Source organism: Homo sapiens, chromosome 1, assembly GCF_000001405.40.
Source record: "Homo sapiens chromosome 1, GRCh38.p14 Primary Assembly".
NCBI classification, from domain to species: domain Eukaryota; kingdom Metazoa; phylum Chordata; class Mammalia; order Primates; family Hominidae; genus Homo; species Homo sapiens.
In genome coordinates this window covers 97,891,186-97,910,550 of record NC_000001.11, presented here as the reverse complement: position 1 = coordinate 97,910,550, position 19,365 = coordinate 97,891,186, and the positions used below count along the sequence as shown (strand labels likewise).

General features: G+C 34.8%; 1 protein-coding gene across 8 annotated transcripts in view; it reads left to right on the top strand.

Annotated features, from left to right (window-relative positions):
- Positions 1 to 19,365, top strand: part of DPYD (dihydropyrimidine dehydrogenase) — an 843,317-nt gene that overhangs the window by 10,509 nt on the left and 813,443 nt on the right. Inside the window, exon 1 of one of the 8 annotated variants that reach the window (XM_047448076.1) lies at positions 5,875 to 5,943. The gene's annotated coding sequence lies outside the window, so the exon portion shown is untranslated. 8 annotated transcript variants of the gene reach the window in all.

Genomic DNA, 19,365 nt, shown 5'->3' with positions numbered 1-19,365 from the left:
AAGTGGGGATAGAAATCATACTTACATTACAGGATTGTTGTGTGGTTGAAGAAAATACTACAGATTCATCCTTTTTAATAGTTCCAGCATGTGGCAAGTATGCAATTAATATTAGGTATTAAATTATTAATAATGGCTACCACCTATTGTTTGACTTCAGTGATTTATCTCTTTGACAATATGTTATTTTAGTCTTCTTTAAAACACAGGAATTTACTCTCTTTTTTTAAATCTAAAATATTAATTTTTTCCTAATGTGCTAAGCACTGGTCTAGATGTTGTAAACACATTTTCAAACAAGACAGAAAAGAATTCTGCAGTCAATAAAATTGCATTCTAATGGAGGAACAATAGTAAAAAAAATTTCTTTAATATACAGTAATTTCAGATAATATCATGAGCTTTTGTAAAAATAAACCAAGAAAATGTGATGCAGAATGGCTAGTAGGGTCTTTTTTCACATGGTAGTCAGAGAAGGCCTCCCTGTAGAGGTGACATTTGAACTGAAATCTAGAAGATCATAAGAAGTCTGCTAGGGGCTTTTGAGGAAAAATGAAAGCAAATCAAAGAGGTGGGACTGAACTTTGGTAAACAAAAAAAGTAAGAGGTGTGGGGAACACAAATTTAATATGTAATGGCATTCAGTTTGAAATCACTATTAGATAGCACAGTAAAGATACCACGTAGGCAGCTGAAAGTAAACTTTTGGATGTCTGTAAAGAAGCCGTAGCTGGAGATAGAAATTGAGGAATTATTGACATAAAGATGTTATTTAAAGTCTTGGGACTGAGTAAGATTACTTAAAGACAGCGTAGCTCAACAAGGGACTGAGGACTTTAGGCATTAAGAAGAGGAGAAGATAGCCAAGAAACCAAGGGAGGAGGAAGGATGTGTATATAGTCAACTTTCTTGTCTGCTGTTGGGAGGGTAGTTGAGGGCATAAAGATTTCTTTTAACTTAGTAACATTGAAAAAGTGTGAGCTTGACAATAGCCATTGGGGAAAGAAGCCTAATAAAAATGGTTTGAGAAGAAAATAGAATGTGAGGAAGTAAGACAATGGCATTGGGAAATGCTGGAGAAAAGTTTTCCTGTAAAGGGGAACAGAAAATAGGGAAGTAGCTGGAGAGGGATAACAGAGCAGGTACATATATTAAGGGAAGAGTTGCAGTGGGGAAACTAGAGTTGAAAGACATAGACAGGATAATTACTTGTATAAAGGGATTCTTTTGGTGAGAGGGAATAGGATTGATAATATAAGGTTTAGAATAGGTGGTGAGACAGAGGTGGCACATTGGGTGGCGGAACAAAAAATAAGTTCCCTCTTCCAATGGATGGTTTTAATTTTCTCAATAAGAGTATGAGGCAGGATTACCAACTGAGGGTGAGAGGAAAACAGGCTGTAAAAGTTTGAAGAACAGGTGAAAGTATGAATAGATTTTCTGTAAAGTAGGATAATGAAAATAATAAGTATAGTAGGATTGTTAGGCAGTATTTATTTTCTACTTGATGCTTGCAGTCAAGAATTGAACATGAGAGCAGTGAACATAATAGTGGATTGTTCTCCATCCACTTTTAACTGCTTGGGTTCAGGCAAATAAGATGTAAAGAGATAAGTTTAAGTGGATTAGTTTTGCTTGGGCAATAAAGTTGGAGTGAGAGAAGAGTAGGGAATTAAGGATGTTGTGAAGAAGTCATAATAGTGTATCATGGAAGCTGATCTGAGGGACGTCAGCATAGGAGAATGAGATGACTACTGAAAACACCAGTGATACGCTCCATGGATTGATGGTTTCAGGAAGGTCAGATAATTCTTGGAAAGTGGAATGTTGTCAGAGGTAAAGATTGGAGTGGTATGTTTGAAATAAAGCTTTTAGAGATAGTGCGATAATCATGGTAAAGTCAAGACTATAACCAAGGGTGATGGTGGCTGCAGTGGGGTGGAAGAACAAGAATTATTGGTGGTGAGATGGTGAGTAAAAAGAGGCAGATGCTAAATGAGCCAAGAGTCTGTTGAAGTCACTAAGACTGGTGTAAAAAATTGAGTGGAGTTGAAGACATAGAGAATTAGATGTTAAATTCTCACTGAATCTGGGTAGAGGGTGTGGTGGCAACCCCCTGGGGTTGGTAGATGACAGAAGCACTGAGTTATAGGGAGTAGAACACAGAGGAAATATGATGGGAAGATACATAAGAAAGGACAGCCAGGCCAGGTACGATGACTTACGCCTGTAATCCCAGCACTTTGGGAGGCCAAGTGGTGTGGATTGTTTGAACTCAGGAGTTCAAGACCAGCCCGGGCAATAGGGCAAAACCCCATCTCTACAACACATACCAAAATTAGATTGGTGTGCTGGTGTGTGCCTGTAATCCTAGCTACTTGGGAGGCTGAGGCGGGAGGATTGCTTGAGCCTGAGAGATGGAAGCTGCAGTAAGCCATGATTACACCACTGCACTCCAGCTTGGGCAACAGAGTGACGCCTTGTCTCCAAAAAGAAAGGGGAAAAAAATGAAAAGATAGCCTTATGACTATGCAGACAGTGATTGGAGTGATGCATCAACCAGCCAGAGGATAACAAGGATTGCCAGAACCTAGAAGAGACAACAAAGAATTCTCCCCTACAGATTTCAGAGGGAATATGACAAGGTTGACACCTTTACTTTAGACTTCTAGACTTGAGAATGAGTGAGGCAGTAAATTTCTGTTTTAAGCCACTAAGTTTGTGTAATTTTTTTAATGGCAGCCCAAGAAAATGAATACAAATTTTGATGTGAACTGCAAAGGAGCTGGGATATTTGTGGAAGGAAGAAAGGAAGGAAGGAAAGAGGAAGGACAAAGAACGTAAGGAAGGGAGGGAGGAGGAAGCAGGGGAGGACCTCAGATACTTTGATATTAGGAATAAATGAGACTGGGGATAACTAACATTTGTAAGAGACAGTATTTATTAAATTCAAATTTTTGTAGTTGAAGGAAGTAATTGGGGTTGACTATTCCTAAATATGAAGAATCCTAAATATGCTATTAAAGTCCTGGTTCTGGCACTTTTGAGCTTTGTGAACTTAAGCTAATTTCCCCATCTATAAAATCGAGATCGTGATCCTTGTTCTGCTTATCTTATAATGTTGTTGTTTGGAAGAAATAAGTTAAGAACAAATGCAAATGTAAGCTGTTACTATCATGAAGTTGCTTAACTTCCAGATATGCACAGTCCTTATATGAAGGGAAAAGATGTTTGTTATCAAATATGGAAAAGAACCAGGTAGATAATTTTTTAAAACCCACACTAAAAATTAAACACAGCAGTTCCCCTTCATCCAATTTTTGCTTTTTGTAGTTTTAGGTCTGAAAATATTAAATGTGAAATTCCAGAAATAAATAATTCATAAGTTTTAAATTGCACGATTTTGGGTAATGTGATGAAATCTTTCATTGTTCCGCTCCTTCCTGCCCAGCCCATGACTCATCGCTTTGTCCAGCCAGGGTCTCCACACTTTCTAAGCTCCCTGCCTGCTAGTCACTTAGTAACCATGCTAGTTCTCAGATGACTGTGGCAATATTGGAGTCCTTTGTATTCAAGAAACGCATATTTTACTTAATAATGGCTCTAGAGTGCAACAGTAGTGATGGAGACAATTCATATATGCCAAAGAGAAGCAGTAAAGTGCTTCCTCAAGTGAAAATGTGAAAATTCTTTACTTAAGGAAAGATACTGAGATTGCTAAGATCTATGGTAAGAATGAATCTTCTGTCCCTGAAGCTGTGAAGAAGGAAAAAGAAATTCTTGCAAGTTTTGCAGTTGCACCACAGGCTGTAAAAGTTACAGTTCATGAGAAGTGCTCAGTTACAACGGAAAAAGCATTGAAAACAAATATATATGTAGGGTTCAATACTATCTGCAGTTTCAGACATCCACTGGGGGAGTCTTGGAACATATCCCCGTGGATTAGGGTGGACTCCTGTATACATTTTTCGAAAGCTTAAGTTACCAACAAAACATATTATTCCATAGTTCAATTTTATAAGTAATTTTTAAGTACTTGCTGTATCTTGGGAACTATATTAAGTACCACTTAGAGTCTGGTTAGAAAGATAAATGCATCTCCTCTAAATGTGCTTTTGATACAGAACAGAAGATGAGGCAATTTCACCAATAATTATATATCAAGACAGAAAGTCATAAGTACTTGGGGATGATGGTTCAGAATTATGGTGTAAGAGTTAAAATAAGCATGTTATAAATTCACATTCATGCAACTTAATAATTTAGTTTTACACCATTATTTAGATTATATTTAATAAATGATAAAGAAATTCATATAAGTTTTGTTACAGTTTCCCTTCACCTTCACCTCAATATCCAGTAATTTAGGGGCCAGAAAATGAATTAGGTGATCATTTTCCAAGGACAGGTGAAGGAAGGCTGTCCTGGCTGAAATGGGTCAGGTGTGAGGCAGGTGTAAGTATAGGAGCTGGCAGAGTTAGAATTAATAGGGATCATCATGGATCTATGCACTCAGAGCATTTTTTTTTCTTGTTCCCTACTTAAGAACATGTTTCCAGTCTTAAAAAGATGTATCCGTTTCAGAAATGGTGAAACCAAGGACATAGAAAGGTTAAATGGTTTGATTAAAGTCAGTAGTGAACTGGAAACTAAAATCTATGAATATGAGCTCAGTTTTACATTGCTGTTTATTCAGACATTAAAATACATGACATGAAAATTAGGAATCATAGAGGTATAGAAGTGGGAAGTCCTTCAAAAGTTACCTCATTTTTCCTGACCGTATGTATTCACTGAGTTTCTCAATAAGATGTTTAATATTCGGTTCTTCAAGGAGTCCTTCACATGTGTAAATGAAGCAAGGTATGAATGGCGTCTAATCCACAGGCCAGATGGTTGCAGTGGAGGGAGCTGATGAGATATCATCAATCACTTCTCTACATCATGTCAAATGACCAGTTTTGTCCTTTGCCGGCCACTTTGGCAGCTGACAGGACAGAATCTTTATTTGTTGGGAAATTTGGAAAAAGAAATAGGCAAACTGGATTACCGGACTGGAATTGGTTTTGGGATTCTATATCGTGTTTTCTTTTCTTTAAAGTCTGTATACATTTAGATGTGTTATAAAACTGATTCACTGGAGCCCTTGACTGAAGGACATTTTTCTTTTTATTTCTACTTTATAATGATAATGATGTCATTGTCAAGAAAACCAGTTCATATTGAGGACTGAAAAAATATAATGACAAGGATATGATCTAAGGTTAATTTTATATTAGTCTAACCCTTGCTCCCTTTGCATCTTTAGTCCTGTATAATTTTGAATTAATTATGCTACAGGAGCAAATAGTTAGAGGTGCATATTGGGTAATTATAATTTGCACTACAGTGTTCAAAACAAAGCAATTCTAGTCTAGTTCTCAGTTAATCTGAAAGTGAAATAAATCCAGAATCTATGAAATTCTTTATTTTATCAATTCTAAAATAGTATACTTCCATAAAAACATATATTGGGCTTAAAATAAATATAATTTTAGGTTTGGTAACTTTAATTGTGTAAGTCAACTTTCCTGGAGAAATTAGATTACATTGACTATGCAGGTGCCCTTGCTATTACTCAAGATCAGTAGTGCCTTTTAATACCCATGGCAACTGATTTGGATTGATATGGAATTTTGAGTACAAACTGTAAGGGAGTAATAACTTTCAGTAGGTTCTTAGTTGGAACATACCCCTATTATGAAAGATGGATTAACAAGAGAAAAGTAAACAAGCTGATTAACATATATATTTCACAAGTACATGGGAGATACCCAGAGAATGAGTAGTTTTCCCAGAAGTGGTTTTGAAATAGCTCCTTCAACAAAGAACAGTACATTTTTAGAGAACTGAAAAGACAAAGGATGGCAACTTGAGGAGAAGGCAAATGCATGGCAGACAAAAGTTAGTAAAACTTGTTAATATAAATTCCTCTGGTACTGTTGCTAGGCTGATAAGGGTCTAAAGCTGTCTTTGGTGGTTAACCTTTTTTCTTTTTGGTAGAGAGGTGGGCAGGATACCATTTTCTTTGTAAATCTATCTACTGCTTTTAGGCAAATAAAGGGAGGCCAGAGAACTCTCCTGTGTTTCTTCTTAACTGCCTTCAGTGCAATAACCCTTCATATTTTGGGAAGGTATATTCTGGTCTCCCACACTTCCATTATGATTAAGATATTGTCACTGAAATGTTATGATTACCTTGCCACCCAGTGGATCCTGTATAATCATTTCTGAATTATTCCATTGTTTTAATAATGACATCTTTAAATGTGTTTGATTTCCATCATGATAGTACATGCATATCATAAACATTTAAAAATAAACAAACAACTTTGTGGAATAGTGGTTCTATTCCTCCCAGTGATATGATGGTAAACTAGTAAATGGGAGTTAGGGGAGGGATGGTGCAGAGAAGGGACATCCTGATGTGTAGCCCTTCCTGATTACCCTGGGGTAAATACAGCCTCTGTTGCTGATTTTAAGCCCTCCCTAAGAATAGGGAGTTGGAAATAGATGTTAGCTATCCTCTCTCCAGTGCCCACTGGGTCTAGCTTTCACCTCACCCCTCTCCATCTTCTCCTATTTCCCTTTCTAGAAGCAACACTTTAGCTGTTTCTCTTAATTCATTTGCTAGTAAAATTCAAATTTTTATTCAGCCGTCAGATTTTTGGACAGTTAAAATGTTGTTGTTGGCCATTTGCCTAGCAGTCTTGGAAAGGCAGCTTTTTAAAAGGCTGCCTAAAGTTTGAATTAACATTTTAAAACTCTAGATATTTGGATTTCTTAGTTCCTCTAGTATAGTTTGAAGTAATTTAAAATTACCAAACAATGGGCCTGAATGTGAAAAAAGATGAATTGTAAGACAGTATCAAGAAAGATTTTCTAAGGAATAGTTTTAAAAAGATACTGTTGATATTAAACATACTTATATGTTAATATATAATTAACTTAATAACCAAGGACATTTACTTAGCGTTGTCCATGTTAGATATTGATTTGCTAGACCAACATGTTTTGACCATTTCAAGATTCTGGTTATGACAAAAACTCAAATTTGGAATTGATAGACAGAACTGATCCATAAATTGTGAGAAACACCATTTACATACGTTTCTAAAAATTTTCACATGCTTCATCCAGCTCTATAACCTGCATTTTAGGGGGTTATCATTCATTCGGATTAAAACTTTTAAAAATAAATATGTATTATATTCAGTAAAACAAATTTTAAAGCAAAAGAAATCGGAGCTATTTCATTCTTTGTGATATTGTTAAATATAGATTGTTTCTAGTTTTCAAGTTTTAATTTTGCTTCGTAGTAAATAAGAGATGTATTATCAAGCCTTTTCTTACTTAAATCTTAACAAGTGTGTAAATAGTATGAATGTTGCTCACAACCCACACTGTTTGTAATTAAGTGGCAAACTTATTAATTTCCATCACAGAAGTCTCCCATTAAGTCAAATTCTCTTCTGTGCCAGCCCAGTAACCTTAATTACGATGCAATATTTATCATCCTTTGGAATAATGTTTATATCTTTGAGTAAGTCTAAGTGTTAGGAAGGTTTAAAGAAAGCGTGGAACTATGTAGTGTTGGGAGGTACCTCTTTCTAAACACCTGGAAGTTATTGCAGTTATTTAGATTGAAATGAAAAATAATAGCTGTTTGTTTTCTAGTGGTATGCTCCATTTAAGAAAAGTCTTAAAAGGTAGATTGTTTTGTTTAGTATGCTCCTTTAGGAAAATATTCTGTGTCTAAAATAATAAAGAAATCTCATTAGAATCTGAATGTTACTAATTTGATGAAATTACCTCTTATTATATAGCAACATACCCCTGCTTTTAATTTATTTTCAGTCTTAATCTTTAAAATGACAGAGAAAGTGTAGGAAGCATTGTATTAAAGTGATGGTGATAATTTACATATCTTTGAGATGAATAACATTTCAATGGAAACAGCAAACTTAATGATTAAAGAATTACTTGACATGTGGGCATCCTGTAATCTTTCCTATGGAAATTAAAGAAAACCAGTTTTACCCAGTAAATCCAAAACACTGAACTTCTGACCTCTTATGCCTCTCTGGTCTATATTATTTATGCATCTTCTAATTCTTGCTCTTATGCTACTTTCAAGTATGGTTTCTTATCAGAAGTAGGCTCGTAGGCAATGTAAAGTCATGGATAATTCAAAGTATTCAGGAGCCTCATTGTAGTGATATTTTTGTATGAGTGTGGTGATGTCATAGAGTTAGGAGACTTGGTTCTAATCTTGACTCAGTCTTTAATATGGATTGTTCTTTTACTTCACTAGGCGCATCTGTAAATAGAGGTCCCTTGTGGCTCTTACACTCTAAGGAGATACAATTCAATTTATTGCAAGTCTCTATATTTATGCCTTATATAAGTTCCTGGAGATACTGAGAAGGGTAATAGCCAGTCATCATACTCAGTAAGCTGAAAGGCTAGTGGGGCAGACAGGCATATAAGCAGAGAATTTTAGACTATGTGGATTTCAATTGGAATACAAGAATTTGAGGGTTTAATAATATATGTAAACTATTTTATAAATTGATAAATATTAAACCCAGAATTTCTATTTTAATGGAAGTAGCATTACCTGACATTTCTGAATGGTAAATGTATTTTTGATACCAGAGCATCTGTGATTTTTTTACAATTAAAGAAAAATCTTAGCTTTTTAGACAAGATGTGTGAACTTAATTCAAATCCAACAATTAATTGAAAGGCACTGGAGACATGCTGTATTTCACTGTCAGTTTTTTGTTATTGTTGCTGCTTATATGTCATTTGTAAGATGACACCATTATTCAAGTGATGAGCCAAACAGTACTAAATATTTTTTTCTAAGCCAGTTTTCTATCCCAACTTTTATTTTCTGTGCATACTATTCCCCTTATAATCACAAATTGTTAATATGGGAGGTGTATTTACTTTTCTGTCTCTTTACAACCTATACTCATTGTTATCAAGTCCTGCTAGAGCTTCCTTAACAATATTTCTGAGGTTTGTCTCTTTCTTTTCATTTGAAGTAACACTATATAAGCAATGTGTACCAGGAAGTTTGGTATATATTGTGGCTTAATCAGCATATAATAGACTTTTCTTTAATCTGACTTATTTCAGGTCTTGTTTCTGTAGCTGCACCAGCGCAAAATTGATTTCAGTATTTACAGTGAATATGCAGCAATCGTTGAGTTACTACATTAAAATGAAACTAATATTAGCTGCCCATAGAAGAAGTACAGAGTAGTGAATAACAGTCCATAATCTGAAGCCAAAATATGTGGGTTAAGAATCTCTGTTACTTCCTGGGGAAGTTACTCAATCTCCTTGTGATTTAGTTTTCTCATCTGTACTTGAAAAACACTTGAAGGGGTGCCTGGCATACTGTAAGCTCTCATTCAACATCAGGTATTACCAAATAGTCATCTGATATAAGAACATTAAAAAATGTTCTTATATCATTTTTTAATATAATTTTTTTCGAATAAAAGACATTATAAAATTTTGATAAAAAGTTGCTAAACTGTCTTATTGTTGAAGTATATATTAGACTGAGAACACATCCAGAAATCAAGTTAGAATATTAATAGAGATAGGGTGTTTTGCATGGTGTATCTTGGGAGCACAGAAATGTGTTATCTACTGCGGCTTGATAGGAGGGAGGGATTTAACAGACTGGTTGGAAGTGTGGATTTTGGGGAGGGAGTTGTGTGCATGGGAGATTTTCAAAAAACAGTTTGCAAAGGAGCATTGGATATATTTTATTCACATCATTATGCTATATTGTAAAAAAATTATGTCAGTTAAAATGGAGAAACCTATTAGCAGTCAATGAATGGAGATGAAAATGAATTACTTTTTTTGTGCTGGCACAATAAAATTTCCATTGATCATTCTTTGAAATGAGTAAGTTTTGGTTTAGGATTTTTGACATTTGATGGATTTCAAGAAAAATACTTAAGCTGATGTGATTTCCCACTTATCTTTTAAGTACATAAGCCAAATGCTTTTATTTTGAAGTTTCCATGCACCCTGGTTTTGAATATTTTGCCTTGTTGATTGGACTATCAGTCCTTCCCATACCTAGTTGACCACCAGAATCACCTTGGGCACTGTAAAAACCAGGTGTTGGGGTATAACATGGGAAAAATTGCTAAAAGCGGCTTAAAGAAGACAGAACTTTATTTATTCCTCATGTAAAAGAAGTCCAGAGATAGATACTAGAGTGCGTATAGCACCTTTTTGTTGTCAACAGGTTTCTGTCTTTCCATTCTGATATCCTCAAGTTCACCTCTCTGTTGAAGTTAGCAGCTAGAGCTCCAAAAGCAGAGAAGAACAGGAAAAACAAGGTATACCTCTCCCTTTAATGAGACTCCTTAAAAGATACACACTTCTAAATGCATATTATTTCCTGGTACTTAGCTGAATGGCTTGTCAAAGCCTGGGAATTATAGTCTGTAGCTGAGAACTATGGCTCCCAAAATGTAATAGGGGTTTGCTACTAAGAAGGAAGGATGGAGTGCATACTGAGGCAGGAGAGCTGCAAAGTCTGCCACAGACATTTGTTAAACTGATTGATTCCCAAGGCCTATCCATGTATAATTGATAGATGTGTAGGGAAATCTGAGATATTCTGATGCAGCTGATTTATTCAGGAGTATCTGTGATAAGTTAACTTTTTCTACTTTAAAGCCCATGGTCCCATGACCACGTATCAATCTCTAATACATTTACCTAAGATTCCTATATAAAAGTGAGTAAAGAAATTACGTATTGCCATTTTGAAAATTTTTCTGTATTGTTTGTCCAGGTGCTCTATAAAATTAAGCCATGTGAAGGAGTGGCCACTAGAGTATGATACTCTTACTGGAATTCTGCATACACTCAAGGTGGGACACTAGGGAATAGATGTACATTTTGTATTGGGGGTTCCAAGACCACCTCCAGGCACAATTGATTTACTATAAATACCCTCAGGATATAGAAGTTGTTGTATTCATGGTTATAGTTTATTATGGTGAAAGAATAAATTAAAAGAAACAAAGGGAAAAGGCGCATTTGTCAAAGTTCAGAGGAAGTCACCCACAAGCTTTCAGTTGTCCTCTCCCAATGGAGTTACATGGCACACATTTAATTCTTCCAGCAAATGATGTGTGACAACATGTGAAGAGTTGCCAATAAGGGAAGCTCACCCAAACCTTAGTATCCAGGGTTTTTAATTGCGTGTTAGTCATGTATACATATAGTGCTGTGTGACTGACTTCAGTTATTCAAGGTTCAGACCACCAGAGAAAAAGCAGATACTCATCATTAATCACACTGTTAATGTAAACTAGCCAACTGTTACAACGTGGCCCAAGGCCTTTGGCATTAAAAAAAAAAACAAAACAAAACACTCTTGTCTGACAGAATAGTCACAGCTTGGTTCCTAGGAGTGAGCTGAGGGCCACTTCTTCTGAAAACAAGCCTTTCTTGGGAATGCTTAGTGTATTAGTCTGTTCTCACGCTGCTGATTAAGACATACCTGAAACTGGATAATTTATAAAGGAAAGAGGTTTGATGGATTCAGAGTTCCACATGGCTGGGGTGGCTTCACAATCATGTTGGAAGGCAAAGGAGGAGCAAAGGCACATCTTACATGGTGGCAGGCAAGAAAGCTTATGCAGAGGAACCACCATGTAGAAAACCATCAGATCTCATGAGACGTATTCACTACCATGAAAACAGTGTGGGGAAACCTCCCTGATGATTCAGTTACCTTCACCTAGCCCCACCCGTGTGACATGGGGATTATTACAGTTCAAGGTGGGTTTGGTTGGGGACACAGTCAAACCATATTGCTCAGGATTTGAGCAACTCAGGCCTATCAGGTTCTTTCCTGTACACATTTCCACCTGAAACAATAAAAAAGAAACAAAATATATGAAACAATTATTTTTAAGATACTGGCTATCAAGCAATGAAATACAGTGTTCCCTGAGAAACATAAACAAATGAAGGAAACCCTAATATTTTTCTAGTTTATCCTCTTGAGAGAGTTTATAGGCTGCAGATCAGAAGGGGGAAACCACACAAAGCCTGGTGGAATCCTTCAATTGGAGAGACAGAGCTGAAAGTCTAGGGAGACCAAGGAAGCTAGAGTTTGTAGAACAGAACAACAGAGAGGCTAGAGCTGCTCAGAGAGAAACCTGCAGATCAGCAGAGGGTTCCCCTTGAGTACTCCACAGAGTAATGATTAGTATACGCATGTGGGAAAATGACCCATGGCTGCGTAAAGAACAGTCCGACGGAACTAGCACTCACATGGGTCTGGGAATAATGCCTCCTCCCACCAGCCAGACTGGAAAACTTCATGATTCATACGACATTGGGTATTCAGAAGTTTTTTGCCTCAGTAGTGGGAAATAATTAGCCCCAGAGCAAATGCTGCTTGATTCCCTCCTCACAAAGCTTAAAACCAAGACCTGAGAGGATCAAATCATTTTCAAATAATTCAATTATGTCCTAGAACAAAACTCAAAAACATTTATAGGAATGCGAAAATATCATGTACCCAATATGGTAAAATTCACAATGTCTATCATCCAATTAAAAATAACTAGGCATGAAAGGATGCAGGAAAATACCACCCATAATGAGGATAAAAATTAATGTATTGAGACAAATCCAAAGCCGACACAGATGTTAAATTAGCAGAGAAGAACATTAAAACTGTCATTATAACTGTATTCTATATGTTCAAAAAATGAAGTAGAGGTGTGCAAAATAGATAGGAGACCCAAATTGAACTTCTAAAGATGGCAACTGTAAGGAGATGAAAAACACACTGGATAATATTGAAGACAGATTAGACACTGCAGAAGAAAAGATAGTTAACTTGAGGACATAGCAATAAAAACTCTAAAATGAAACACAGAGAGAGAAAAAAATGAAAAGACTATCAGTGAGCTGTGGAACAACTTCGAGTGGCCTCATATACATGTAAATGGAATTTCCCCAGAGATGAGAGTGAAGCAGTGGGAGGAGAGAAGAAGAAAATATTTGTAAAAATGAATTTGTAAATCCAAGAAGCCCAGTGAAACCTAAGCAGAAGAAATATAAAGAAAACAACGCCGAGGCACATCATAATCAAATTGGTCAAAACTAGTGATAAAGAGTTTATCTTCAGAGCGGCTAGAGGAAAAAAACAGGTGTACTGGATACAGAAGAACAAAGATAAAGCAATAGCAGATTTATTGTTGGAAATAATGCAAGTGAGAAGACATTTAAAGTATCAGGGAACAAAAACTTTCAGTGTAGAATTCTATTATCCAGTGAAATTAGAGTTCAAAAACCAGGGCAAAGTAGAGACTTTTTCAGGCATACAAAAGTTGCAAACATTTATAAGCAGCAGACCCGCATTACAAGAAATATTAAAGGAAATCACATCCTTCAGGCAAAAGGAAACAATAGTAGGTAAAAATAGGGGTTTGCACCAAGGATTACATAATTGCAAAAATGGTAACTACATAGGTAGATATATGATTTTTACTTACTATTTAAACCTCATTAAGAGAATTGGTCATTTAAATTAAACAGTAAAGTATGGGGTTTATAACACATATACAAGTAAAATGCTATATGAATAATCTTTGAAGACATTATGCTAAGTGAAAGAAACCATTTACAAAAAAACAACATATTGTATGATTCCATTTATATGACATGTCCAAAACAGACAAATCCAAAGAGTTAGAAAGTAGATTAATGGTGCTTAAATCTGGAGGTTTGGGGAAAACTGGAAGTGACTGATAATGGGTACATGTTTTTGGCAGGGATATGTTTGATGAAATGTTTTAAAATTGACTATGGTGATGGTTGCACAGCTTTGTAGGTATACTAAAATTCATGAATTATATACTTAAAATAGGTGAATCATGTGTAAGTGAATTATATCTCAATAAAGCTATTGTAAAAAAGTAATACTTTACCTATGAAGAAAAAAATAAAGTCACTTAAATATGAGACGGGGAGAAGTAAAACCTAACAATGCACAAAGAATGTTGGGTAACATGCACATCATCGGTGAGACTTGACAAGAGCATTTGCAGTAGTGGTAGGAAAGTGAAGACTCAGTGGGTAGCTGAATGTTTCTCTTTTTCACTTTAAATTGGAGATATGTATGCATTCTTCTGTGATCTGTTCATGCCCTTTTCCAGCTTATCTGATAATATTTTCCTGTTTTCTTATCCATTTATGTGAGCTTTATATAAGAGACTAACACTATGTCATTTTTGATTAATTTGATTGATATAGTTCAATGAGTGTTTGGAACAGGATTTCTAAATAGGACGTGAAATCAAATGTTAATCTCTAAGAGTCCATTCCAACTCTAATATACTAAATCCTAGGGACCCAAAAAAGATGCCAAGTTAATTTTATTAATCCCTGGAAAGAAGCTAGATTAGGTCAAATAGTATGTAATTACAGTGTAAGATTGGGTGTTATATTTTTATATCTTGCTTTAGGTATAAACTTAAATTATTTTAAGTGAGATATTTGTTCTCTTAAATTGGAATTCCTAGGTTGTTTTTGGTAAAAAAATTGGGATATCTTGATGTGACTCCATACTGCATATACAGCTAATACTACTGTTTAAATGGAAAGCATTCTCTCTAGGCATTGAAACAAAGTGTATTAATTAAGAATACAAAATATTACTTATTAAGGAAATAAAAGTAGCTTAAATAGTAATTGTATGCATGAACTTTAAATTCATAAATTTCATGATTTTAAATAGTCCAACTCCTCAACTCACCCAATTCCCCAACTCCTCAGCTCCTTGCTCTACTCTGATCCTTCTCAAAAAATAGATATGATAATCCTTCAATTAATAAAATCCAGAAATGAAAACTCATTTTTATCATATCAGTTCTTATTTTTAACATAAGTCACTTGCCAGCCCATATATATATTTCCTTTTAGCTGTTAACCATATAGATGAAGGGCAACTAGTCACGCTATGATTTATTACAGTTTTGTGAACCTGAAAATCATGCTACTTCCTCTATTTACTTAATTTGTAAAACATTTAAACTCAGTTAGCCCAGGTCCTGCTTTCATCTTTCCCTTGAAGTCCTGTTTTCCAGCATCTCTATTTGTTGACTGGTATTAAATAATTTTAGCATGCTGGTATACACTTAGCCTCTTTTGAACTAAAATAACCCTTGGTCTTGTGAGCAGTGTCTTTTGTAAATGAGAGTATTTTATACACAAAAGGTACTAGATTAAAGGTAAATCATAATACTTTTCATACTACTTGAAAAAGGCCCTCTAAGGCCAATTTTACATAGGAGCCAGGCAATTTCTGTAAAGCAAGTTTTGAGGTAAATTGACTAATTTGTTTTGAATGAAAAAAAGTATAAATGCTAAAATATAGATTTTCTTACCCAATGAACTGGTGAATTTTTTTGGTAACGTAATAATCCCTATCAACTTTCTTTTCACATAATTCTGTCTTGGGATTTTGTATAAATTTATACATATGTTCAACTTTTTGCAAATGCAAGATATTCCAACGTGTATTTTCATAGTTACACATTTTCTACATACTGGTTTTAATTTAAATATGTAATATATGGATGCTTTGCCACATTATATTAAATTGAAAATAGTTTATAATTAAAGTAATGAAATTTTAAAATAAAGTACAGTATAGGTTATCCCATTTTATATATTTTTGATATCTCTTTATAAGTGTTTGCATTTGACACTTTATTTCTCAATTCCTATAATAAAAATATACAAACAGTATATATAAAGTATATATGTTATTAATGTTTTGCTGTTTAAATTGTTTAAAGAATAAAGATATATAATTAATAGCTAGTGTTACATTATTTGGTAATATTGTTTTCTTTTCTTTTCTTAAATTAAGCAATACTTTAAAATATCTCCTTTGGTTATTCTGAAGTTTCTTCTTGATAAAATAAAATGGTACAGTCAACATGGTACCATTTGAACTCTTAGGCTAAAGGTGACTTTAAGTTGATGCCCAATATTAATAGTATTTGCATACTTCCACAGGTGGTGGAATCCTTTCCTTGTCTGTTATGAACTGTTTATGTCCCCTCAAAATTCATATGTTGAAGACTTAACTTCCAATGTGTGGTATTTGAAGATGGAGCCTTTAGAAGGTAGCTAGGGGTAGATGAGGTCATGAGGGTGGGACCCTCATAGTGGGATTAGTGCTTCTTATAAGAAAAGACTACAGAGAGCTTTCTCTCATTCTCATCCTCTCTCTCTGCAACATGATCACACTGCAAAAAGGTGGCTGTGAGTGAGTCAGAAGAGGGAAAAGGATTCTTACCTGGAACCAAATTGTCAGGCACCTTGATCTTAGACTTTCCAGCCTCTCTAACTGTGAGAAATAAAGATCTGTTGTTTAAGCCACCCAGCTTATGGAATTCTGTTATAAAAGCCTGAACAGACTAAATTGTCTATGTCAGAATTAGTCACTACCTTTGGCATGCTCTGTTCTGTATTAAGAATTGTGAGGTTAATATCAGATGTTATTATTCTTGTGTTTGAATTGTCAATCTTTTCTGAAAGACAATAAAAAGACTTTTTTTTTCACATAGAGATCATTTAGGCACCTGTTGTGTGGTGTGTATTTTAGAAGTGAAGGAGAGTCACACACTGGGCCTTGCAAAGACAGACGAAGAGCTTCCTCTGGCTCACCTTACCTTGTTGAGTGTGAGAGTGACATAATAGACATGATATTTTAAAATGTGTAAACTATTTGTGTTAACTATATGCTCAGTAGAAATGAATCAAATATTCCAGGCGATATGATGAGCATTCTGAAGGGATTCATTTATTTTCAGTTGATAACATTTTTTGATGTTTTACAAATTCATCATTTTTCATCTGACATGCCCTTCCTGGGAAGGAAATGTAATGTAAATTTACCTAAACATGTTGGGACCAAAGACCCATGAGTTATATACAGTTCTATGGATTATAAAATGATATCTCCATTGCTATATATATATATATATATATATATATATATATGCGATGGATATTAAAATCTGTTTTTGAATTTCATGACCCTTCCACACTGCCATATTAATTTGCAAAAAGCATATTGTATTTTCAGGCAGTCTGCCTTTGAAATTGCAGGGCTTAGGGCAATGATAAGTTCAGAGACCCATGACTCAGTCAGTGATTTGGTTTCCTCTGAGATACATCTCTATTTTTTGTACTACCTTATTTATAGATATTTTCTCACCTGTTGTCTTCATCCTTTTTCTATATTCCTGTACTTAAAAATATGATTCCCATGTATACATTCAGAATTGACAATATAGGAATATGAGTATACATTGGGTTAATAGTGGCTAAAACCTAGTTCTATTACATACATAGATAACATGTGGTAAGCACTTACTGCATGCACCACTCTAAACATCTTTTGCATTATCTTATTTAATCATCACAACAACCCTATGGGGTAAGTACTATTACTAATCACCATTTTACAGTTGAAGGAGTAGAGAGCTTGAGAGTTTAAATAACCAACAAGAATAGTAGAGCTAAGATAGAAACCCAAATTTAATCTCAAACACTATGCATATTGCTTAGTGAATACTTAACAAAATGAAAGTTGTAAGATTTAGGACTATCAGAGATTCTTTCCTTCATAAATTTTTAATCAACTGCAGTGAGTTACCCACTGTGCATAAAGGGAAAATTGGCCTTTGTACAGAGCTAGTAAAATGGGAAAAAAAGTATGATAAGTTACTTGGAAAAGTAGAACAACCTAGGGGCTTAGAAACCTGTGTCTGGGCAAAGAATGGAAGTACATTTAAAAAATTATTAGGTAAATGTAAGTCTTTGACCAGGACTGATTACCATGGGTTTCTGAAATTTTCAGACTCTAAGGTTGATTGTATCTCAAGTGTGAACCTAGGATGCAAAATAAAGCTGCATTCTCTCCTCTTCTGTTCCCTACCTAGCAGGAGATGGGCCGTATCAGTTCTGAGCTTATTCAAGAACCAAAGATACCTTTGTGAATTTCTGAGATATTAATTAAATCACTCTACACTATGACTAATGAGAGACATGGAGAAGCGTGGGATAACTGGCTGAGACTGGGGCTTTTAAACAAGAGACTGTTAAGCAAATAAACTGAAAAATTTAGTTCTCCACTGACCAGCCTTAGTTAGATTGTTACCTGGATAAGGCAACAAATACTCGTCAAAAGCATTAATCAATAGATATTTCTGTTTTTCTGTTAGCTGAGAATATTTATTGATAAAAAATTGGCACCACAGCACAATGTTATATTGAAATCAAAGTATTTCTGTCCAATTATGAAAGAAATGGGAAAAACATGTTTATTATTATTATTATTTGTTTACTTGATGCATTGGAAAGTAGGAGATAACTTATAGAGAACTCAGAATAAGCCATTAAAGAAAAATGTAAGCATAATTTAAATAAGACAAAACTTAGTTTATCATCTTAAGCATGTAAGTACAAAATGTCAGCAACATGTGTATCATTTTAATGGCTCAGAATTATAGCAAGTAATTACCAGTATTGAATAGGAAAAATTTGTTTATAAGTTCGAATGCAAAGGGTAAAGGAAGCTTAATGGTACACTATGTTTGGATAATTACTATTGTGATATAAAACAATACCACATGTTAAGAAAGAGGACATGTTGGTCAAGTAGCTTCCTGCAATTGGAATTCAAGCTCTTGAATAATACTGAAGCTCCAATGTTTTAGGCCTAAGATTTAGTGATTTTGTTTGTGACATGAGGGCCTGTGATTGTAATCAATACAGGCTTCTCTTTTTTGCCCTCAATGGTAATACAGAAAAACTCTCTTTAGATGTATAATTCTAGTTTGTATGTTTCCGCATTCCACTGCTTCACAGAATAGTGTTAACAGACCAAACGGTGACAATATATAACTCTTATTTGATTTCATTTATACTTGGCCCTGGATAATATTCCATCATTTCTTAAACTAGGTAAAATTAGTACAATTAAATTTTTTCTAATTTTTTTTTCTGCGTCTGGAATAACCAGTGTATCTTTATTGTGTTACTGAAAATGTTTGGTAAAGCCAAACAAGTCAAATTCTTTGATGAGAGAAAAATCTCCCTGTATAAGTAATGTACCCTGTATCTGAAAGGGTTAATGGGCTTCTTAAAGTGCTCAATTCATCCAGAGAGGGGACTCTGTGACCTGTTGGAACGTGCCTTTGGCCATTTCTTAGGAAAAATGCAATTTAGAACTCTCCTGTA